Source organism: Homo sapiens, chromosome 5 (assembly GCF_000001405.40).
Source record: "Homo sapiens chromosome 5, GRCh38.p14 Primary Assembly".
NCBI lineage: Eukaryota > Metazoa > Chordata > Mammalia > Primates > Hominidae > Homo > Homo sapiens.
In genome coordinates, this window is record NC_000005.10 from 179,552,525 (window position 1) to 179,576,057 (window position 23,533).

General features: G+C 44.4%; 1 protein-coding gene, 1 long non-coding RNA gene and 1 pseudogene across 17 annotated transcripts in view, besides 4 other annotated features; all 3 read left to right on the plus strand.

The window, feature by feature from the left end:
* The window catches only part of LOC128966623 (uncharacterized), a 130,785-nt gene that overhangs the window by 30,068 nt on the left and 77,184 nt on the right, over positions 1-23,533 (plus strand).
* Positions 1-23,533, plus strand: part of RUFY1 (RUN and FYVE domain containing 1) — a 59,459-nt gene that overhangs the window by 1,971 nt on the left and 33,955 nt on the right. For 6 of the 16 annotated variants that reach the window (XR_245276.4, XR_245277.4, NM_025158.5 and 3 more), the window contains exons 2-5: positions 7,501-7,674; positions 10,023-10,140; positions 14,937-15,038; positions 16,778-16,901. Coding sequence is in view for 11 of the 16 variants with exons in the window: in NM_025158.5 (NP_079434.3) it covers positions 7,501-7,674; positions 10,023-10,140; positions 14,937-15,038; positions 16,778-16,901 (518 nt within the window). In the remaining 5 variants the exon portion in view is untranslated. Of the gene's footprint in view, positions 1-3,129; positions 3,267-7,206; positions 7,675-10,022; positions 10,141-14,936; positions 15,039-16,455; positions 16,694-16,777; positions 16,902-22,800; positions 23,125-23,533 lie in introns of those variants that run through there. The other 10 variants (XR_007058644.1, XR_007058643.1, NM_001040452.3 and 7 more) reach the window with 7 other exon arrangements.
* Positions 1,910-2,410: an enhancer, noted in NCBI's record as "H3K4me1 hESC enhancer chr5:178981435-178981935 (GRCh37/hg19 assembly coordinates)". NCBI's record gives its function as "activates a minimal SCP1, AML or CMV promoter by ChIP-STARR-seq in primed H9 embryonic stem cells {active_cell/tissue: H9 hESC(primed)}" and the evidence as "EXISTENCE:reporter gene assay evidence [ECO:0000049][PMID:30033119]".
* Positions 3,115-3,291: a silencer, noted in NCBI's record as "fragment chr5:178982640-178982816 (GRCh37/hg19 assembly coordinates)". NCBI's record gives its function as "represses an EF-1alpha promoter that drives an FKBP-Casp9 reporter gene in an ReSE screen in K562 erythroleukemia cells {active_cell/tissue: K562}" and the evidence as "EXISTENCE:reporter gene assay evidence [ECO:0000049][PMID:32094911]".
* Positions 6,909-7,028: an enhancer, noted in NCBI's record as "active region_23751". NCBI's record gives its function as "activates an Ori minimal core promoter by ATAC-STARR-seq in GM12878 lymphoblastoid cells {active_cell/tissue: GM12878}" and the evidence as "EXISTENCE:reporter gene assay evidence [ECO:0000049][PMID:35858748]".
* Positions 19,355-19,855: an enhancer, noted in NCBI's record as "H3K4me1 hESC enhancer chr5:178998880-178999380 (GRCh37/hg19 assembly coordinates)". NCBI's record gives its function as "activates a minimal SCP1, AML or CMV promoter by ChIP-STARR-seq in naive H9 embryonic stem cells {active_cell/tissue: H9 hESC(naive)}" and the evidence as "EXISTENCE:reporter gene assay evidence [ECO:0000049][PMID:30033119]".
* PRDX2P3 (peroxiredoxin 2 pseudogene 3) lies at positions 19,563-20,349 on the plus strand (annotated as a pseudogene).

Sequence of the window (23,533 nt, forward strand, 5' to 3'; positions counted from 1 at the left end):
AGAGCCTGGGCAGGCCGGGAATCTACTGCCCTCTAGCTTGACACCTTTTCCCGAGACTTTTCCACACATCAGTGGATGCTGAGTTGCATACTCATTGACAGTCAGTACTGAAAGTCAAGGCATGGCGTCTCCTGGAGGCCTCTTAGATATTTCGTGGCAGGAGTAAGCAAATAATAAAAGTTCTTCCCTGCTAGAATTTCTTTCCTTTAATGCAGAATCAAGGAAAAAATTAAAAAGATAAAATGAAATGTGTCAGTACCTGGCACAGAATAATAAGTGTTTGCTGAACAAATGCATATTTGAAAAATACCTGTGTTCCATCTATGGAAGTGATAGAAACAATAGCCAACACTTATATTGTCCTTCAAAGGTGCCAGGCATTAGTCTTAAACCTGTACAAGTATTCATTCATTCCTCACAACAACCCTATGTGATAGCAGGACTAGCTTCATGGGTGGACAGTCAATGCAGGCTTTGATCACTCTGGTGGAAAGGGCCAGGCACTCAGAAGTATCCCATGCTTGAAATTCTTAATTTTATCTTTGAATTTGTGTTTTTTAAGTGAAGTCCAATGGGACAGGTTCTCAGTTGCCCTGGCCCACTCGAGCTGCCCTGGGGCTTCTCCCTACCCTCCCTGATCCCACTCTTGCCCAGGCAGCGTTGGGATTGCACCCTCCGAATCTCAGGGCAGGGTGGCTGGTACCACAGCACATTAGGCAGGCAAGTGGGCAGGGGCCTCTCACCTGTCCCATCCCTGCAGGGAAGTTGCAATCCATTAGGGCTGTAGTAAGGGGGAGTCTGACTTCTGTGCTCTGCTCCAGGCCGGGAATTTTGCACTGGGCCTTGTAAATCATGTAGATGGCACAGGGTGATGAGTACCATTATTATCCCTATTTTATAAAGAGAGTATTAAAGAGAAGTAACTTCACCAACTGCAAAATGTCTATATATATATCCCATATGGATTTAAAAAACTAGGCCGGGCATGGTGGCTCACACCTGTAATCCCAGCATTTTGGGAGGCCGAGGCAGGCAGATCACCTGAGGTCAGGAGTTCGAGACCAACCTGGCCAACATGGTGAAACCCTATCTCTACTAAAAAAAAAAGTACAAAAATTAGCCGGGCTTGGTGGTACGCACCTGTAATCCCAGCTACTCAGGAGGCTGAGGCAGGAGAATTGCTTGAACATAAGAGGCGGAGTTTGCAGTGAGCCGAGACCATTCCACTGCAGTCCAGCCTGGGCAACAGAACGAGACTATCTCAAAAAATAATAATTAACTCAATTTAAGGAAAGTATTAATAACTACCACTCAATCTAGCAAAATGGTGACCATGGCTTACAAAGAGATGAAATTTGGGGAACTGCTGGGTAGAGCCATGAGGCTGGTCCCAAAGGTCACCGGGATTTGAAGCCATCAGGTAGGACAGGAGCAGAGGTGGGAAAGGAAATGGGCCAAGGGCGGCTCGCTCTGCAGCGACACAAGAAAAACAGGATGGGAGAAAGACAGTGACACCACTTCAGCCAGGGCCAGGCCCAAGGCTGACTCATTCTCTTTCCCCACTGATCTGCCTACACAAGCAATGAGGACAGGCAGGACTTTCAGAGGGAGCAGTTTAGGAGCAGAGATTGAATGTGAGCAGCACTCTTGCTGGATGATATTTTTTCAATGGTAGAAGCTAAAGGAAATGCTGCGGAATATTTTGAATACTTGTTTTAAAATGTTGTCCCGGTCGGGTGCAGTGGCTCATGCCTGTAATCCCAGCACTTTGGAAGACCGAGGTGGGTGAATCACCTGATGTTGGGAGTTTGAGACCAGCCTGACCAACATGGAGAAACCCCGTCTCTACTAAAAATACAAAATTAGCCAGGCATGGTGGCGTAGGCGTGTAATCCCAGCTATTCAGGAGGCTGAGGCAGGAGAATCTCTTGAACCTGGGGGGTGGAGGTTGCTGTGAGCCAAGATCGCCGCATTGCACTTCAGCTAGGGCAACAAGAGCAAAACTTTGTCTCAAAAAAAAAAAGAAAAGAAAAGTTTTCCCATGTGGGGTCTGGTATGTGATTGTATTGTCCATAGGTGTCCTGTTTGGTTTTGGGGGATTTTTTTTTAAGGTAATAAGCGAACATGATTTTTAAAAATCAAACCATACAAAAGAACATTCGGACAGGCATGGTGGCTCATGCCTGTAATCCCAGCACTTTGGGAGGCCGAGGCGGGCGGATCATTTGAGGTCAGGAGTTTGAGACCAGCCTGGCCAACATGGTGAAACCCCGTCTCCACTAAAAGTACAAAAATTAGATGGGCGTGGTGGCGCACGCCTGTAATCCCAGCTGCTCGGGAGGCTGAGGCAGGAAAATTGCTTGAAACCAGGAGGCAGAAGTTGCAGTGAGCCAAGATCACGCCACTGCACTCCAGCCTGGGTGACGAGCAAAATTCTGTCTCAAAAAAAAAAAAGGACAAATACTAAATCCTCCTTCCCAGAAATTTTCCCCAGTACTATTGTATCTTTGAGAGTTTCCGCACATAGCACATGTGCTTTCCTCTCTCAACACTGGCTGTTTTCACGCAAGCAATAGGATGTACCCACAAGGAATGTATCTTGCTTTTTAGAGTAATGCTTCCTAAAGGATGAGTAACAAACATGCGTGTTTTAAGAATTAACATGCTGGCGGGGTGCAGGTGGCTCATGCCTGTAATCCCAGTACTTTGAAAGGCCAACGAGAGAGGATTGCTTGAGCCCAGGAGTCTGATACTGGCCTGGCAATTTATTTGGCAATTCAGTAGGTGTAGAACTTCACGATATTCTCTGTGTCATGTTGAACTATTATTAATGAAGCTTAGAGATGTGAATAGTTTGGCCAAGGTCACAAAGCCAGTAAAATTGAGAGATAGAACCGCTAAAAGATCGTTCCAGGTTTAATTTTCCATGCCTCTAACTTGAGTGCTAATGGGTACAGGTAACCCCATAGTAGGGGATGCATGAGATGGCAAAACACTGCCAGCAGCACTTCCAGAGACAGCACCACCCAGCGCTGATTGCCTGGAACACTGGTCTTAACATTTTTTGCTCATGTAACCCCCTAAGAAAACTCCCAACTTTTTTTTTTTTTTTTTTTTTTTTTGAGCCGGCGTTTTGCTCGTCACCCAGGCTGGAGTGCAATGGCGTGATCTCGGGTCACGGCAACCTCCGCCTCCCAGGTTCAAGCGATTCTCCTGCCTCAGCCTCCCAAGCAGCTGGGATTACAAGCATGCACCACCACGCCCAGGTAATTTTTTGGATTTTTTTTTTTTTTTAATTGATCATTCTTGGGTGTTTCTCAATTTTTTGGATTTTTAGTAGAGACAGGGTTTCACCATGTTGGCCAGGCTGGTCTCAAACTCCTGACCTCAAGTGACCTGCTCACCTCAAGTGATCTGCCCACCTCGGCCTCCCAAAGTGCTGGGATTACAGGCATGAGACACTGCTCCCAGCCGAAAACTTAACTTTTAAAGTTAACGTATAAGATTATTCATCATATTTTAAAGTTGCTCAGAATTCATTTTCTGGCATAGTGTAAATATTGACTTTTTAAAATAAAACTGTTACATTGTTTTTTGAAATGTATCAAGTGGTATGTAAATACCTTAATGAATTGATAATTACCACCATCCATCTTTAAAATAGCAAGTTATTTAATATTTGAAAATTTTACATTTTCCCTTTTATTCATTGAACTTGGATTTCCATTCCACTTCTGCCATAGAATTAATGTAATAGATTTGTATGTTTTTAAAAGTGTTATTGGTCATCTTATAAGTCTCAGCAAAAAGTATGTAAATAAGTTAAAGTTTAATAAATTTTTATTGTGACTGAAGCTCTAAGTGTATAAAAATTTTTCTTCTGGAGTGAATTATCATTAAGTTTATTAGTAATGCTACATTGGTAACAGGAACATAAATATAATTTTTATAAAGAATTATACATAAATTTTTCTTGAATTGCGTTTTTTTTTTTTGAGAAGGGTCTCACTCTGTTGCCCAGCCTGGAATGCAGTGGCGCAATCTCGGCTCACTGCAACCTCCGCCTCCCGAGTTCAAGTGATCCTCCCACCTCAGCCTCCCCAGTAGCTGGGACTACAGGTGCACGCCAGCACGCCCAGCTAAGTTTTGTATTTTTAGTAGAGACGGGTTTTACCATGTTGGCCAGGCTGATCTCGAACTCCTGACCTCAGGTGATCTGCCTGCCTCAGCCTCCCAAAGTGCTGGGATTACAGGCGTGAGCCACCACGCCCAGCCAATGAATTGCATCTCTAAATGAGATGAATGGTGTTGGTTTTTGTCATTAGCATATATCTGTAGATGAATATATATGATTTACTGCTAAAGCGTGATAGAATTCAGCATCAGTTTTAGTCCTGTTTTTTGTTTGTTTGTTTTAGTAATGTTGGTCATCTTTGAACTCTTTCCAAGTTATATGCCCCAAATCACACTGATCTAAAGCCAAAAATTATTTTTTGTTCCCTTATTTTCATTCAAAGCAAATAATTGAAAATTACCTGACCTGCAACCTAATCATATTAAGAAAATTTCTCAACTGTTGGGAGTTACCAAAACAAAAGTTTTACCAAGACTTATCAAGTGTGAGCCAGGCACGGTGGCTCATGCCTGTAATCCCAGCACTTTGAGAGGCTGAGGCAGGTGGATGGCCTGAGGTCAGGAGTTCGAGACCAGCCTGGCCAACATAGTAAAACCCCGTCTCTACTAAAAATACAAAAAATTACCTGGGCATGGTGGCGGGCACCTGTAATCCCAGCTACTGGGGAGGCTGAGGCAGGAGAATCTCTTGAACCCAGGAGGCGGAGGTTGCAGTGAGCCAAGATCGTGCCATTGCACTCCAGCCTGGACAACAAGAGCAAAACTCCATCTCAAAAGAAAAAAAGACTTATCAAGGGATAATTTCACTTCTTATTCTTTCACTTAGGCACTTTGTTTAACCCAGAATACTCAGAATGGTTGGAGACATCTGAGTATTGCTTATTTCATTCACCTTTGCCAATACAGTACTTTTTGACAAAAATACTTTTAGTTTATCATGTATTTCAAATCCATTTTCATCAAATACTTAGCTGCAGTTTGGGCTCATTTAATTTACGGAAAATGGCCATCAAGCTAATGGCACATCTTAGGGTTGTGAATATTGACTGGTTGAACATAATTACATAGATTTGTAGGGAGAAAAATTTAATTTTCTAAATTTAGGACACCCAAGCAGAGGGTTAGAGACCACCCCTCTGCCCCAAGACCAAGCTTAACTGAATACCATAAAGCAGTAAAAGGCTGGTCTTCATGTTTTTGATTACTTAATCATCAAGGGCGACACCACCTCCATTTGGTGTATGGAACCTAGGGCACCCCAGGTCACCGTATCAAGAGGAAGACAGGTTATGGAGTGAGTTGCCCTTCTTTAGAGGGAGGAGAAAGAGTGCCTGTGAAACTTGAAAATCTGGAAATTGAGTTCCTTAAAACATCTGGGCATACCTAGCTTTGGCAAGACTGCTGTATATGTATTCCAATTTCAAGACCACTAGATGATAGAACTGGGCTTGGTGTCTTCTTTAAAGATAAATCTTTACAAATTGCTTTTATGGTTATTGCTGTCTTCAGAGTTTCTCCCTTCTCTTGATGAAGTTTTACAAGTTTTATTTCCTTTGCCAATCATCCATTACAGTTTTAAAATTTATAAATATAATACATAGGCTTCTCTCGAAATATAAAAATAATTATACTGGCCAGACATGGTGGCTCACGCCTGTAATCCTAGCACTTTGGGATGCCAAGGCGGGCGGATCACCTGAGGTTGGAAGTTCGAGACCAGCCTGACCAAAATGGAGAAACCCCGTCTCTACTAAAAATACAAAATTAGCCAGGCGTGGTGGCGCATGCCTGTAATCCCAGCTACTCGGGAGTCTGAAACAAGAGAATTGCTTGAGCTCAGGAGGCGAAGGTTGCAGTGAGCCGAGATGGCGCCATTGCACTCCAGCTTGGGCAACAAGAGTGAAACAACATCTCAAAAAAAAAAAAAAATTATACCACCCCCAACGAAATGCTTTACTTAAGCCACTTTTAACCCTCTCCACAACCAAGGTGAAATGCTTAGGCTGTTTCTTCTTGCCCAGCAGCTCTCCCCCTACCTTCTTGGGTTTTGCTGAGATAATTTTGAATTTTTAGTCCCAGGATGTCTCAGTATTTATTTAAGACCTTTACTACAAGTTCACGGCCATAATATTATCGTTCAGATTTAACTGTAATTAACTATATAAAAATATAGTACGTATAAATATGCTCTTTAATTGTCCATATTAATCAATGCTGGTGAAATAAAACAGGTAAAGGATTAGTATCCAAAATATACAGGTCAGTAAGACAAAGGCAAGCAATTCAACACGAAAGTCAATTGAGCAAGCAATTCACAGAAGAAATACTAGCAGAGAATAAACAGAAGTTATTTAACCTCAGTAGTAATTGGACAGCTGCAAACCAAAAACAATACGATCCCCCGCCCCCATTCCAATTGGCAAATATTTCCAAGACAATGTAAACGCGCGCGCGCGCCCGGGTGAGGGCCGCGCTTCGCACCTGGGACTTTCCTGCCAGGACTCTTACTTTGGGATCTAAACTTTTAGTTTCTAGGATACCAGCTTACTGGGTTTCAGAGAGCATTTGGCCAGCACGTATAGATATCTGATGATAATTGCACACAGTCTTTATTACACCCTCAAGGCAATGCGACAAGATAATGGGAGTTGAAATGGAACTCTCTGAATTCATTTGACTCCAACGGTTTTCCTTACCAAAAAACAAAGTGTGCGTAAAACCTAAAATTGTCCACTAGTAGCGGACGAAAGATCGGCAACAAGAATTTGAGCCTGGAGCTGAGGGGAAGATGCTTCCCTGCAGGCACCCGGCTGGCACTATCCGGCAAGAGAGAAGGCTGGAAAAGCCTTCTGGGCGGGGTGCGCATCCTCCTCCGTCCGGGACAGAGGGTGCAAAATGGCGCCCACCAGCTCCGTAGGAGAGGCCTTGAGCTGGACTCGCCCAATAGGAATGTTTGGGGGCGGGACGCTTTCCCAGCACGCCCTCTAAGAGCTTGGGGCAGGGCTTCCTGTAGGTAGCGCCCTTCCATTGGTCAAAAATGGAACCGGGGTTGCGGGAGAAGCCAAACGCGGCGAGTCTTGCTAAAGCCGTCGCCGTAGCAACGCGCGGAGCCGTCTGGGAGAGGCCTCTGGAGCAGGAGGCCCAGTGGCTCTTCTGACCCAAGGCCCCGCCGTCCAGGTAGGGGGCTGTGGCCTCTAGGGATCAGGGACTACTTACCTGCGAATCCCGGTTGCCCGCCCGCCAGCACGTCCGTTCCCTAAGCAGACCGCCTGGCCTCCTGCCTGACCCGTCTTCTCACCGTTGCCCGGAGTCTGACCTCCCCACGCTCAGTCCACTAACGAAGCTATCCCTGCTCCTGCCCCACAGCTTCTAAGTGCCAGATGATGGAGGAGCGTGCCAACCTGATGCACATGATGAAACTCAGCATCAAGGTGTTGCTCCAGTCGGCTCTGAGCCTGGGCCGCAGCCTGGATGCGGACCATGCCCCCTTGCAGCAGTTCTTTGTAGTGATGGAGCACTGCCTCAAACATGGGCTGAAAGGTGAGCCTGAGGGGGCGTTTGGGAGCGTGGAAGTTCGGGCTGGGTGTTTGCTCAGCATTTTTTCATCAGCGCCAGACATCCTTCTAGATGCTGAAATGCCAGCAGTGTACAGAACAGGCAAGGTTCCTGTATTCAGAAGCGACGTCCTAGAGCAGCGCTGGCCAATAGAAATAGCATGCAAGCTATATAGGCAATTTTAAAGTTTCTGGTAGCCAGGTTACTTTAAAAGCGTTAGATGAGGCTGGGCGCGGTGGCTCACGCCTGTAATCCCAGCACTTTGGGAGGCCAAGGCGGGCGGATCACGAGGTCAGGATATCGAGACCATCCTGGCTAACACGGTGAAACCCGGTCTCTACTAAAAAAAAAAAATACAAAAAATTAGCTGGGCGTGGTAGCGGGCGCCTGTAGTCCCAGCTACTCGGGAGGCTGAGGCAGGAGAATGGCGTGATCCCGGGAGGCGGAGGTTGCAGTGAGCTGAGATCGCGCCACTGCACTCCAGCTTGGGCAACAGAGCAAGACTCCGTCTCAAAAAAAAAAAAAAAAAAGAAAAAAGAAAAAAAAGTGTTAGATGAGATGCCTTTCTGTGGGGATAAAACTTTTAAAAATTAAGAAAAAAAAGTTAACCTAATTTGCTAAAATGTTTTAAAATTAGTGTTAATAATATATTTCATGGAACCCGTATATCCAAAATATCATTCAACACATATTCAATATTTAAAAGCCTTATTAGGCCAGGCGCGGTGGCTCACGCCTTGTAATCCCAGCACCTTGGGAGGCCGAGACGGAAGGATCGCTTGAGCTCAGGAGCTGGAGACCACCCTGGCCAACATGGTGAAACCCTGCCTCTGCTAACAACACAAAAATTAGCCGGGCGTGGTGGCGCATGCCTGTAATCCCAGCTACTCGAGTGGCTGAGGCAGGAGAATCTCTTGAACCCAGGAGGCGGAGGTTGCAGTGAGCTGAGATTGCACCATTGCACTCCAACCAAGGCTACAGGGTGAGATTCCATCTCAAAAATAAATAAATAAATAAATTAATTAATTAATTAAAACAGATGCAAAGGTTCTGAGTGGGACCAACCTTCCTCAGCTTGAGAAAGACTCCAGGTAACAGGTGTGCTAAGTGTGCTGAGGGAGAGGAGGGGAGGACATGAGGTCAGGGGAGTAGGGAGAGGCTGGACCATATATGTCCTTAAAGGTCAGATGAGGAGTTGCATTTTATTCTTAGTGTCTTTGGAAGATCCTAAAGGGAGAAATGTGTCCTAACTTCAGTTCTTAAAAGAATTTCTAGCTATGTAGAGAACAGATTGTAATGGTGGGGAGGTGACAGTATTAGGAGCAGGAAGACCAATTACAGCAGTACAGATGATGAGGATCTGAAAAAAACAAAAAAAAATAAATCCTTGATTTTGCCATCAAGGAAAAAAAGGGGGAAGAATTTCATAGTAGATGAGCCTATAAGGCAACTGTTTTTTTCTTTCTTTTTTTTTTTTTTTTTTTTTTTTTGAAGAGTCTCGCTCTGTCCCCCAGGCTGGAGTGCAGTGGTGCAATCTCGGCTCACTGCAAGCTCCTCCTCCCAGGTTCACGCCATTCTCCTGCCTCAGCCTCCCGAGTAGCTGGGACTACAGACGCCCACCACCACTCTCGGCTAATTTTTTTTTTATTTTTAGTAGAGACGGAGTTTCACCGTGTTAGCCAGGATGGTCTCGATCTCCTGACCTCGTGATCCACCCGTCTCGGCCTCCCAAAGTGCTGGGATTACAGGTGTGAGCCACTGTGCCCGGCTGAGGCGCCTGTTTTATTCTATGGGCAATACATACTTCCAGAAAGAGCACAGTAAGCATATCAGAGAAACTCTGTTGCCAGAGAAAGAGAGACTAATTTATTACATGGCCTCTCCCAGTCCCCAAGAGTAAATCAAGAAGGATTAAGCAGGCCGGGCGCTGTGGCTCACGCCTGTTATCCCAGCACTTTGGGAGGCCGAGGCGGGCAGATCACAAGGTCAGGAGTTCAAGACCAGCCTGGCCAACATGGTGAAACCCCGTCTCTACTAAAAATACAAAATTAGCCCGGCGTTGTGGGCACCTGTAACCCCAGCTACTCAGGAGGCTGAGGCAGAGAATTGCTTGAACCCGGGAGGCAGAGGTTGTAGTGAGCTGAGATTGCACACTGCACTCTAGCCTGGGCAGTAGAGTAAGACTCCATCTCAAAAAAGATTTTTAAAAAAGGATTAAGCAGTGAAGTTTAGCAGCTTTCACTTCCACTTGGCTTTTGTGGGGAGAGGCTGTGGGTCCCTGAAGAAATTTTGCAACCTGTTCTTATGAATAACACTTTTGTTTTTCCTTTTAGTTAAGAAGAGTTTTATTGGCCAAAATAAATCATTCTTTGGTCCTTTGGAGCTGGTGGAGAAACTTTGTCCAGAAGCATCAGATATAGCGACTAGTGTCAGAAATCTTCCAGAATTAAAGTGAGTGAGAAGTAGTTCTGCCAATTTGATGATTTTAAAAACTCCCTCATATTTACTCATTTCTCAATTCCTTGCTGATGAAGCCCTTTCTAATTGGAAAGAGCTCTGCTGCTCATTATCCACATGATCTCTAGCAAGACTTGACTCTCTCTGAGCCTCAGTTTCCTTTTCTTTAAAATGGGGACAGTGATTCCTGCTTGCCACACAGGCCAAATAGGTTGAAAAGGTGTTGTCAACCAAAGGGCACTCACAGGAGGAAAAGGAACTACTGGTACACTCCTGGAATCACTGCTTCAGACACAGGTGGGCAGTTTTCTGAATAATACATTTTGGGCCAGATTGTAGATTCCAGGCCCAAGGACATTTGTAATTTGTTAGGGTGGGACTAACGAATTATTTGCCATGTCTGGATTTGTCCTTGGGATCGCTATGCTTAGGCTCAAAATCAAAAACAGTCCAGAACACAAATAAGTCATCTTCATGGAATTTGGCATCTAGAAAGGGTCTTAGGGATCCTTGAGCCAATGCAAAAGAACCCTCTGCAGAGTTTCCCAGACGGGACTGGACTGTTGAGCGTTTATTTGACCCTTCTCCTAGGGAGCCTGCCTATTCCATTTTCAGATAATAATAATAATAGCCACTGCCCTCAGGACCTGCTCAATGACAGGCATTGTGCTGAGAACATTCCTTCTCATTTATCTCATTTAATCCTCCACAGCCATCCTCTAGGATAGCTGTTAGTGTCCTCATCTACAAGTGTGGGAACTGAGACTTAGAGTGGTTGAGTAACTTGCCCGAGGTGCCTTGGCAGGTGAGTGATGGAGCAGGAAGAGGACACAGGTCTGTTATGCCTTGAAGCCCTCCAAATCCCATGAAACTCCATTGCTGCCAAGCCCTGTGCATTCTTCTCAAGATTAGATTTAAGCCCTCTATGCAAATTCTGCCTGCCCGGCCTACATCGCTTATATTTAAAGCCTTTTGCACCTGCCAAGCTTTCAAATGTTTATTTCATGACCTTTTTTTTTTTGAGAAGGAGTCTCACTCTTGCCCAGGCTGGAGTGCAGTGGCACAATCTCAGCTCTCTGCAACCTCCGCTTCCTAGGTTCAAGCGATTCTCATGCCTCAGCCTCCTGAGTAGCTGGGATTACAGGCACGTGCCACCACACCCAGTTAATTTTTGTATTTTTTGTAGAGACAGGGTGTTGCCATGTTGGCCAGGCTAGTCTCAAACTCCTGACCACAGGTAATCCACCTGCCTCGGTCTTCCAAAGTGCTGGGATTACAGGCGTGAGCCACCACACCCGGCCTTAATGACCTTTTTCATGAGCCTCTCAAGTCTACTGCCCTGCGTCTTCAGTTGTTCTTTATATGGTACAATTTCTCATACCCTTCCTGTCCAGCTCACTCACTCCCTCAAGAGTAAAGCACCTACACAGACGGCGTCCTGATGTTTTCTTTTTTTTTTTTTTTTTGAGATAGAGTTTCGCTCTTGTTGCCCAGGCTGGAATGCAGTGGCGTGATCTCGGCTCACTGCTACCTCCACCCCCTGGGTTCCAGCGATTCTCCTGCCTCTGCCTCCCAAGTAGCTGGGATTACAGGTGCCTGCCACCAGGCCCAGGTAATTTTTGTATCTTTAGTAGAGATGGGGTTTCACCACATTGGCCAGGCTGGTCTCCAACTCCTGACCTCAGGTGATCCATCTGCCTCAGCCTCCCAAAGTGCTGGGATTATAGGTGTGAACCACTGTGCCTGGCTGTTTTTTTTTTTTTTTTTTTTTAAGACAGTCTCTCTGTCGCCTAGGCTGGAGTGCAGTGGTGGTGCAGTCTCTCAGCTCACTGTAAGCTCCACCTCCCAGGCTCAAGTGATCTTTCCCACCTCAGCCTCCCAAATAGCTGGGACTATAGGCTGAGGCAGGAGAATTGCCTGAACCCAGGAGGTGGAGGTTGCAGTGAGCAGAGATCACGCCACCACTCCTGCCTGGATGACAGAGTGAAGTGAGACTCCATCTCAAAAAAAAAAAGAAAAAAAAATCATCTGCACTTTGACCCAGCAATTCCCCTTACATACATTTTATCCTACACATGTAACACATGAAAATGACACATGTACAGAATGATCTATTGCAGTCGTTATTGGTAACAGGAGATTAGAACCACCCTAGTTTTTTTTAACCCAGCTAAATAAATTATGGTGCTGTCCAATAATGACACACTAAAGCTATAAAAAAAGTAAAGTCCTCTGTGTACTGATATGGAAAGATTTTCAAGATGACAGATACTCAGCGAAATAATCAGGTTGAGAACTGCATGTAAAATATGTTAAATTTTTTTGTAAAAAGAGAGAGAAAAATAATTTATATTTGGTACCTGTTTTCATGTGTAGAAACATGTTTCGGAAATGAACTTAAACAGAGGACACTATATTAGTGTATAGGGGAGGGGGATGGGAAGGTGGAGGACAAGGAGACAAGTATATGCCTTTTAATACTTTCTAGGTTTTCTTTTTTTTTTTTTTTTTTTTTTTTTTTGAGACAGAGTCTCACTCTATCGCCCAGCCCAGGCTGGAGTGCAGTGGCACAATCTCGACTCACTGCAGCCTCTGCCTCCCGGGTTCAAGCCATTCTCATGCCTCAGCTTCCTGAGTAGCTGGGATTATAGGCATGAGCCACCACACCCAGCTATTTTTTGCATTTTTAGTTGAGATGGGAGTTTAACGTGTTGGCCAGGCTAGTCTCAAACTCTTGACCTCAGGTGATCCACCCCACTTGGCCTCCCAAAGTGCTGGGATTACAGGTGTGAGCCACCACACCTGGCCTACTTTCTAGGTTTTAAACCAAGTGAAGATATTGCCCATTCAAAAAAAATTCAGCATTAAAGTGCATATACTGTTTTGTAGCCTTTTTTCCATTTATTCCACTTAATATTAGATTTTAAATCTCTTTGTGTATCGAATATTCATTTACAATATCATTTTTTAAATGGCCAAATAATATTCTGTTGTCTGTCTAATTTTGTTTAACCCCGCCTTGTGGCTGTCTTCAAATTCTTGTTACCACAAACCGTGATAATGATGAGGTGACCATCCCGAAACATACTTCTTTGTGTCCGTCTTCAGTTATTTCCCTAGGATATATTACTAAATGTAGAATTTTGGTAACCTGTTGTCATCAAATTGCCACTAGAAAGTTGCACAGTTGGCCAGGCACAGCAGCTCACGCCTATAATCCCAACACTTTGAGAGGCTGAGATGGGAAGAATGCTTGAGCCCAGGAGTTTGAAACCAGCCTGGACAATGTGGCAAAACCCCATCTCTACAAAAAAAAAAAATTAGTTGGGTGTGGTAGCACGTGCCTGCTGTCCCAGCTACTCCGGAGGCTTAACGCAGGGTTATCACTTGAGCCTGGGAGTTCCAGGCTGCAGGGAGCCATCATCATGCCATTCAACAGCATGGGCGACTGAGCAAGACCCTGTCTCCAAAAAAAAAAAGAAAGTTGTGAAGTTTACAGTCTCACCAAGCAGCACTTGAGAGGCCTTTTTTCTTTTAATGTTTAATGCAGGCCTGTTCTTTCTTTCTTTCCTTTTCCTTTTTTCTTTTCTTTTCTCTTCTTTTCTTTCTTTTCTGCTTCTCTGGAGATAATGCTAGAATACAGAAAAATTACACCTTCAAGATTGGGGCCAGGCCTGTAATCCCAGCACTTTAGGAGGCCAAGGTGGGTGGATTACTTGAGGTCAAGAGTTTGAGACTAGCCTGGCCAACATGGTGGAAACCCCATCTCTACTAAAAATACAAAAATTAGCTGGGCGTGGTGGCAGGTGCCTGTAATCCCAGCTACTCGGGAGGCTGAGGCAGGAGAATCACTTGAACCTGCGAGGTGGAGGATGCAGTGAGCCAAGATCACAACGGTGAGCCAAGATTGTGCCACTGCACTCTAACCTGGGTGACAGAGTGAGGCTCCATCTCGAAAAAAAAAAAAAAAAAGATTGGTTCCACAACATTGTGAATGTACTTAACACTACTTAACTGTAAGATTAAAAATGGTTAACATGGTAAATTTTATGTTCTGTGTATCTTACCACAATTAATAATAAAACATAAAATTATACCTTTAAGGCCAGGTGCAGTGGCTCATGCCTGTAATCCCAGCACTTTGCGAGGCCAAGGCAGCCTGATCACTTGAGGCCAGGAATTTGAGACCAGCTTGGCTAACATGGCAAAACCCTGTCTCTACTAAAAACAAAAATTAGCCAGGTGTGGTGATGCATGCCTGTAATCCCAGCTACTCAGGAGGCTGAGCCATGAGAATCGCTTGAACCCAGGAGGCGGAGGTTGCAATGAGCTGAGATTGCACCACTGCACTCCAGCCTGGGCAACAGGCAAGACTCTATCTCAAAAAAAAATAAAAAATAAAAAATAAAAAGTACGTTTGAGCTAACCCTAACCCCTTAGAGATTTTATAAGCTTCAGCACTTTAACAAGCACTAAGTTCTCTATTCGTCTTTTGAAGGAATGTTTATCCATTACACAAATCTAACCTGATATTTTCCTGTGATATTTTATGACTATAAGCAAAGCATTATCTAATTGTATTTGTAATAGTACTCAAAGGTATGTGGTGAGCCATTTTCGCTGCCTGCCCAGGCCATGTGCATCCCTCCCCAACCCCAAACAGCCATTCTTAGAGTATCGTCTGCATTTACAAGGGTGTGTTTCCTATGTGTCTCCCTGGCTAAATCAGGTGTCTTTTCTGTGTTTGTTGTTGTTATGCCACAATAGTTGATTCTCTGTTTGAATTCTAGGACAGCTGTGGGAAGAGGCCGAGCGTGGCTTTATCTTGCACTCATGCAAAAGAAACTGGCAGATTATCTGAAAGTGCTTATAGACAATAAACATCTCTTAAGGTATTTCATCAACCATGTTTGCTTATCTTTTGCTTGGTAAATAATTAGAACATAGGCTGGGTGCGGTGGCTCACACCTGTAATCCCAGCACTTTGGGAGGCCAAGATCAGGTGGATTGCTTGAGGTCCGGAGTTCAAGACCAGCCTGGCCAACATGGTGTCGTATTTTTAGTAGAGACTAAAAATACGAAAATTAGCCAGGTGTGGTGGCAGGTGCCTGTAATCCCAGCTACTCAGAAGGCTGAGGCAGGAGAATCGCTCGAACCCGCGAGGCGGAGGTTGCAGTGAGCCGAGATCACGCCACTGCACTCCAGCCTGGGCGACAGAGTGAGACTCCTTCTCAAAAAAATAATAATTAGAACATAGTTCTGTAGATCATTTTGAATTAAAATAAGTGTATCAGCCAGGTGTGGTGGCTCATGCCTGTAATCCCAGCACTTTGGGAGGCCAAGGCAGGCTGATCACTTGAGGTCAGAAGTTCAAAAACAACCTGGACAACATGGTAAAACCCCATCTCTGCTAAAAATACTAAATTAGCTGGGCATGGTGGCATATGCCTATAATCCCAGCTACTCAGGACGCTGAGGCAGGAGGATTGCTTGAACCCAGGAAAGCAGAGGTTGCAGTGAGCCAAGATCACACCACTGTACCTCCAGCCTGGGCAACAGAGCAAGACTCTGTCTCAAAATAAAAAATAAAAAAATAAGTATATAATATTTACAGAAATTTATGACTGGTTCATTTTTTATATTTATAAGTAAGCAATAATCATTATAAAAGGAATGTTCTCTAGACTGTGATGATTTACGAGGAAGGACTCTTTCCAGAGTTAAAGCTTTCTTGTAATTGAGAAATAGATACATTTTACAGCATAGCCTAAAACCCAAGCCTTTCAGTGTTTTCAAGTCATGGCTCATTGTCGAACATATCTTTACACGACAAATACTGATTTACAATATTTCACATACTCTGAGTAGTTACACTGAGTAACTTTGAGTTACAGATTTTCTTCTAATGAACAAAGTATTTTTCAATTTTTTATTTATAATCGATACAAAATTATACATATTTATGGGATACTATGCATGTATACACTATGTAATGATGAAATCAGGGTAATTACCATATCCCTCACTTTACTAATGAACTAATTCTTAAGAGAAAAGTCTTATACGCACACACACACAGTGGCCTGGATGCCACTGGATTTGGTACATTAGCAAGTCATTGCTGACCAGAGCAATATCAGGCAGGGGATGGACCACCCCCTGCAAATGGCCGCGATAACTGGGCAATAAAGGAAGTAAAGCAACAGATGTTGCTCCGTGGGACGCAAGAAGGAGGAGTGTTATTCTTGGATGTGGGATCCCATTTCCTGTTTATATCAGCATAAGTGGAGAAGTAATTCATATCAACACAGAACAGGAGCCAGTGGAGACACAGGAGGGGAGAGTGACAGGAGTCAAGAGGAGACGAGGAGAACTGGGGTCCAGGGTCTGCATGGAGGAGTTAACTTTAGACAGGAGGAGAGGCGAGCCCATTCTAAGCCACAGGAAGAGAGGAGAGGACGGGAGAAAAAGCAGCCGTTGAAGCAGTGAAGAGAAATGAAAGGGAGGGAGGAAATCCACAGCAGTATCTTCTGGCTCCAGGGCACAGGTGAAAAGGCAGTTCAGGGTGGGGAAGGAGTGGGGATGGTGAAGCTGTTTCTGAGCATCGCCCTGTCCTGTCCATCTCTTTCAGCGAGTTCTATGAGCCTGAGGCTTTAATGATGGAGGAAGAAGGGATGGTGATTGTTGGTCTGCTGGTGGGACTCAATGTTCTCGATGCCAATCTCTGCTTGAAAGGAGAAGACTTGGATTCTCAGGTAAAATGAAATTTTGGCTCTAGATGAACACTTTCGTTAGTCCAGGGACTTTACATAGGATCTGCAAACAGGTACTGAACCCAAAGAAGGGCAAATGGCAAAGAGCCCACTGGTAGAGGACCCCAGGGATGCAGCTGGGGAAGGTCTCGGAAGGGTGAAGAAGTTGCATAGCCAGAGGTACACACGGAAAGCTTGGCAGGTTTGGGAACAGGCAGACAGCTCTCCATGGCTGGAGTAGAGGATGCTCTGTGGGCGAGGTGAAAGTGGAGGCTGGGCCTGATAGTTAGGCCATTGGTGCTATGCTGAAGGGTGTAGCTTTTTTGTTGTTGTTTTTTTTGAGACGGAGTCTCGTTGTGTCTCCCAGGCTGGAGTGCAGTGGCGCGATCTCGGCTCCCTGCAACCTCCGCCTCCCGGGTTCACACCATTCTCCTGCCTCAGCCTCCCGAGTAGCTGGGACCACAGGTGCCCGCCACCACGCCCAGCTAATTTTTTGTATTTTTAATAGAGACGGGGTTTCACCGTGTTAGCCAGGATGGTTTCGATCTCCTGACCTCGTGATCCGCCCACCTCGGCCTCCCAAAGTGCTGGGATTACAGGCGTGAGCCACTGCGCCCGGCCTGTATTTTTTTTTTTTAGTAGAGATGGTGTTTCACCATGTTAGCCAGGATGGTCTCAATCTCCTGACCTCGTGATCCACCCGCCTCGGCCTCCCAAAGTGCTGGGATTACAGGTGTGAGCCACTGTGCCTTGCCTGAAGGGTATAGCTTTTATCCCCTTTTATCCTGAGCTTTGGGGAGCTGTTGGAGGTTTTTAAAAAGTACACTGAAATGATCATGCCTGGATTTGAGAAAGCTCAATCTAGCAGCCATTCAGGTTATGAGTTGGAAGTGGCCAAGAATAGATACAGCAAAAGCCTTGAGGAGACTAGTCTAGAAGTCCTGCAAGCCTGGATGGGGAGTAGGAAGATAGAGTCAGGAGAGATTTGGGAAGTCAGGTTGATAAAATGGCACAAAGGAGAGTAACCAGTAAGGTGTAGAGTGCTCTGTGGGAAGGACAGCCCTCTTGGGATGGGCTTTCTTCCTGCATAGGAGCTGGTGACCAGAGCCAAGGCCTAAACTCCTGGTGGCAGGGACTGTAAATGTGTGAGGGGAATAGGTACCCTAACCCATTCCTCACTTCCACCCCCTCTTCGGGGCATCCGCAGCTGTAGCTGGGCCACTGCCCAGAAAAAAGAGATTATTTTACACTACCTAGCAAAATTCCCAGCCTTTTTCCTGCATTGTGTTTGGTGAATCTAAAGATTCCCTGATCCCTCCATGTGCAGGTCAGTGTTTTTTTATAACCTCTCCTCCCTTTAAAAAAAAAAAAAGTTCGATTGTCTTTGCATGTTGAAAAATATCTTTTTTTGAATTCAGAGAAGTATTTTTGAAAAGACACTAAACATCACACATATTCTCATTACTCTTAGACCGATAATTCAGTGTTACATTCTGGTATACACCCTTCTAGCAGATGAATAAAGGTGTGTGCATGCATGTGTGTGTGTATATGTTTGTGTATTTTAGAGTGAGATGTTCGAAGGGTTTCTTTTTTTATGAAACCAAACTATGATTATTTTAAGCACACCATTTTGTAATTTTAAAAAATTTAACAATATGTTCCACACAGTTCTCAATAACGAGAGATATAAACCATTTAAAATGACTATGTAGTATTTCATTTTTTAACGTACAATTATGTAACCAGTACCTTATTAATTTAGATTGTTTCCATATTGTGACAATACTATTGCTGGGCACATGGCTCACGCCTGTAATTCCAACACTTTGGGAGGCCAAGGTAGGAGGATCACTGGAGCCCAGGAATTTGAGACCAGCCCGGGCAAAATAGTGAGACCTTGTCTCTACCAAAAATTTAAAAAAATTAGCCGAGCATGGTGGCATGCTGTCTGTCATCCCAGCTACTCTGGAGGCTGAGGTGGGAGGATTGCTTGAGCCTGGGAGATCAAGGCTGCAGTGAGCTCTAATCATGCCACTGCATTGCACTCCAGTCTGGGCAACAGAGCCAGACTCTGTCTGGAAAAAAAAAAAAAAAACACCAATATTATAGACATCCTTGAAGTTCTCTGTACTCTTGTCCGTGTATTTCCTTAGGATAAATTTGGGGTTGTTGTGTCAAAGTATACAGGCTACATTTTGCTAGATAACATAAAACGGACCTCCAGAAAGGTCTTCATTATATACACCCACCAGCAGTGTGGGAGAGAACACATTTCCTCCTGACACTGGATGTGATGAGCATTCTCAGTCTTTTTCAGCCTCATGGACAAAACAACTCATTATCTCAAATTTACAAGTATTTTCCTGTTTTATTTGCCATTGGTGGTTCAGCATTTGTGATTATCTTTTCATATTCTTTGTCCATTTTTGAGTTTTCTTTCTCTACTTCTTTATTAAAGACTAAGCACATTGACCCTTTTTCAGAATTATTTGTTATAAATTTTTTTTCTGGTTTCTCAGTGGTGGTTTGCCCTGTAAGTTTTTTATTTTTAGTTTTTGGCAACCAGATTTAGCAGATGTTTCCTTTATACCTTCTAAGGTATTGTGCTTTGAAGGTCCTTCCCTATCTAAACATTACCCTAACTTTTAATATCAAATGTGGGGAGCTGGAACCTGAGTCCACGCGTCTGGTTGTCAGTCTGTCCAGCCTTTACCGCCACAGCTTTCAGTCATGGCTTCCAGTCAGTCGCAGCTCGGAAAGCCAGCCCCTGACTTCAAGGCCATTGCCCTGGTGGATGGCGCCTTCCAGGAGGTGAAGCTGTGGGCTACAAAGGGAAGTACGTCGTCCTCTTTTTCTACCCTCTGGACTTCACTTTTCTGTGGCCCATGGAGAACGTCGCATTCAGCGACCATGCCGAGGATTTCCGCAAGCTGGGCTGCGAAGTGCTGGGTGTCTGGGTGGACTTAGTTCACCCACCTGGCTTGGATCAACAACCCCCAGAAGTAGGGAGGCTTAGGCCCCCGAGCATCCCCCACCCGCTGATGTGACGGGAAGCTTGTCTGAAGATTACTGTGTGCTGAAAACCAATGAGGGCATTGCCTACCCTGCCTCTTTATCATCGATGGCAAGGGTGACTTTTGCCAGATCACTGTTAATGATTTGCCTCTGGGGTGCTCCATGGATGAGGCTCTGCAGCTGGTCCAGGCATTCCAGTACGCAGATGAGCACGGGAAAGTTTGTCCCACTGGCTGGAAGCCTGGTAGCGACAATGAAGCCCAATGTGGATGACAAGGAATACTTCTTCAAACACAACTAGGCTGGCCGATGGATAGTGAGCTTGTGCCCCTACTGGGTACCCTGTGCTAACCCAGGAAAGGCCAGACCTGCCCCTCCAATCTCCACAGTCTGGGACCCTGGAGGGCCAGGCCAAGACCTTCTGCTTCTACCTGGGTAATTTTTTACACACTTTATGTGTAAAAAATGTGTAAATTTTACACATTTTTGCCATTTGTTTTGGCATAGTGTGAAGTAGGAATCTAAATTTCTTTTACAAATAGTTAACCAGTTTTTGCAATATCATCATGTAATATATTTTTTCTACTAATTTGAAATTCCACTTTTATCATATGTGAAATATCCATAATATGCATTGGTTTATTTCTGGACTCTTCTGTTGTAAATCTGAATCTGTGTTCCTATGCCAGTGACACATTCTTTTAATGACTGGAGCCAGATAGTATATTCTAGACTCTGGTAGTTAAGCGCCTGCCTACTCTGCTGTACTTCTGTTTCAAATATTTCTGGGCCATCCATTCTGCCAGATGAACTTGAACATCGTTTTGTCAAATTCCAGAATAAAAACTCCATTGAGATTTTAATTAATTAATAGACATGAGTGAGCAATCTGGTCTAGTGCTATCTTGAATGGCAGTGCCTATAGTGTGTTCTTCAAACACACTATAGTATACATAATCATATACATAATAGTATACATAAAGTATACATGTTTGCTGCTGATGTCTGAGGGATGCGGTTTCTCACGTTTAGAGAGTGCTTTCCACTCCAGTTTACCTTGTGTTTTGTTGTTGTTGTCGTTTTGTTTTTTTCTTTTTTTTGAGATGGAGTCTTACTCTGTCGCCCAGGTTGAAGTGCAGTGGCATAATCTCCACTCACTGCAACCTCCGCCTCCTGGGTTCAAGTGATTCTCCTGCCTCAGCCTCCTGAGTAGTTGGGATTGCAGGTGCCTGCCACCATGCCCGGCTAATTTTTTGTATTTTTAGTAGAGATGGGGTTTCACTATGTTGGCCAGGCTGGTCTTGAACTCCTGACATCGTGATCTGCCCACTTTGGCCTCCCAAAGTGCTGGGATTACAGGCGTGAGCCACCGTGCCCGGCCTACTTTGTGATTTTTTAAGAGATGAATGTTGAATGTTGTCAGATACTTTTTTTGGATCTATCAACATGTCAACCTGCTTTTAACCCATAAATATAATTGAACTAATTCATAGGTTTCTTATTGAATACTATCCCTGAATTTCTAAAATAATCCCTACCTGATCATTGTAAACCCTGGATTTGATATGTTTACTGTTTGGAATTTTTGTGTCTCTGCTTGTAAGTGAAACTATTCTGAATTTTCTATACTGCCTTTGCCACCTTTCCGTGTCAGAATTGTATTAGCCTCATAAACTGGAAGGCCGGGCGTGGTGGCTCACACTCCCAGCACTTTGGGAGGCCGAAGTGGACAGATCATGAGGTCAGGAGGTTGAGACCGCCCTGACCAACATGGTGAAACCTGGTCTCTACCAAAAATACAACAATTAGCTGGGCGTGGTGGCGTGTGCCTGTAATCCCGGTTACCCAGGAGGCTGAGGCAGGAGAATCGCTGGAACCTGGGAGGCAGAGGCTGCAGTGAGCTGAGACCGTGCCACTGCACTCCACTCTGGGCAACAGAGCAAAACTCCGTCTCAAAAAAAATAAACATAAAAATAAAATAAACTGGAAAATAGCCTTCCTTTTCTTGTTTTCTACCGCAGCTTATTAGATCAGGAATTATTTTTTCTGTGCAGGCTTGCTAGAACTTACTGGTATGACCACTTCACCCTTATGCCTTTTTTGGTCTTTGTTCTTTGACCACTTTAACTTTTAGCATAGTTTTGATCAATTTATTGGTTTCCTAAGTCTTAAGACAATTTTTAAAGTCATTTATAATTTTTTTAGAAACCATTTCATTCAGCTCTACTAAGCTAGAGTTGTATGAAAGTATTCTCTTACAGCTTTTGAAAAATCTCACTGTTCTCATTTATAATGTGTATTTGCTAAATATTGATCACACTTAGTAGAAATTTGTCTACTTGGTTGAACTTTGACAAACCAGCTGTCTTATTTATCAATTCTACTTTGGGAGTAGGGCTTTATTTGCTTTCTAATCCATTGATTTTTGCTTTGGGTATTAATTCTTTCTCATCTTTCTGTTGCTTTTTCCTGGCTGTATTTTTTTATGATTTGGTTTTTTATTATAAAAGAAATGCTTGCTTGTTGAAAAAAGTTAGGCAATACCAAAGTATATAATGTGAAAAGAGAAGTTGAACCTCCTCTTCTCACCCCACCCCCCGCCCCAGCCGCAGTCCTCCTCCCTTTCCCACAGGTGATGGTAAAGATTCTGGGGAAAATTTTTCTAGAAGCTTTTCTACTTTTTCTATACATTTATGTTCACGTAGGTTTTGTTTTAAATTAAATATTTTCTGGTCTTCTATTACTGTGTAACAAGTCAGCAACAGCACTTAAACAATAACAATCACTGTATCTTTCACAGCTGGGGGCTAACTGGGTTCAGCTAGTCGGTTCTTGTTCAAGAGCGCACGTGCTTACAGTCAGGTGATGGCTGGGGCTGAAATCACCTGAAGACTTGCTCTCTCCTCGTCTGTCTGCTGTGCTGAGAAGACCAAGGAACTGGGGGCTGGAATGGCAGGGGTTTCTTGGACATCTCCATGTTTACATGGTCTCCAGCATTGTGGCTTCAGGGAAGTCAAGACTTTTTACATGAAAGCTCAGAACTTCAAACGCATATGCCTCAAGAGAAAGAGCTGGGTGGAAGCTGTATTGCCCTTTTTAACCTAGCTGCAGAAGTCACACGGCATCATTTCTACTGCATTTTACTCATCGAGACAGGCACTAAGACCCCCCAGAGTTGAAGGTTGGAAATATGGATGGATTCCTTTTGGTAGGTGTGTCAGAGAGGTTGCAGACATGTGTTAGAACCGTTACACATAGCCTTGGTTGCAACATAAGTAGGGTTACTATAATGAGATTGTACATATGATTCTTTGACTTGAAATTGTATCCTGGAGTTTTGTTGTTTTTTTTGTTTTGTTTTGGCAGTGTCTGACTCTGTCACCCAGGCTGGAGTGCAGTGGCATGATCTCAGCTCACTGCAGCCTTAACCTCCTGGGCTCAAGCAATCCTCTCACCTCAGCCTCCCAAGTAGCTGGGACTACAGGCATGTACCACTGCACCCAGCTAATGTTTGTATTTTTGTGGACACAGGGTCTCACTGTGTTGCCCAGGCTGGTCTTGAACTCCTGAGCCCAAGCCATCCACCCTCCTGAGACTCCCAAAGTGCTGAGATTACA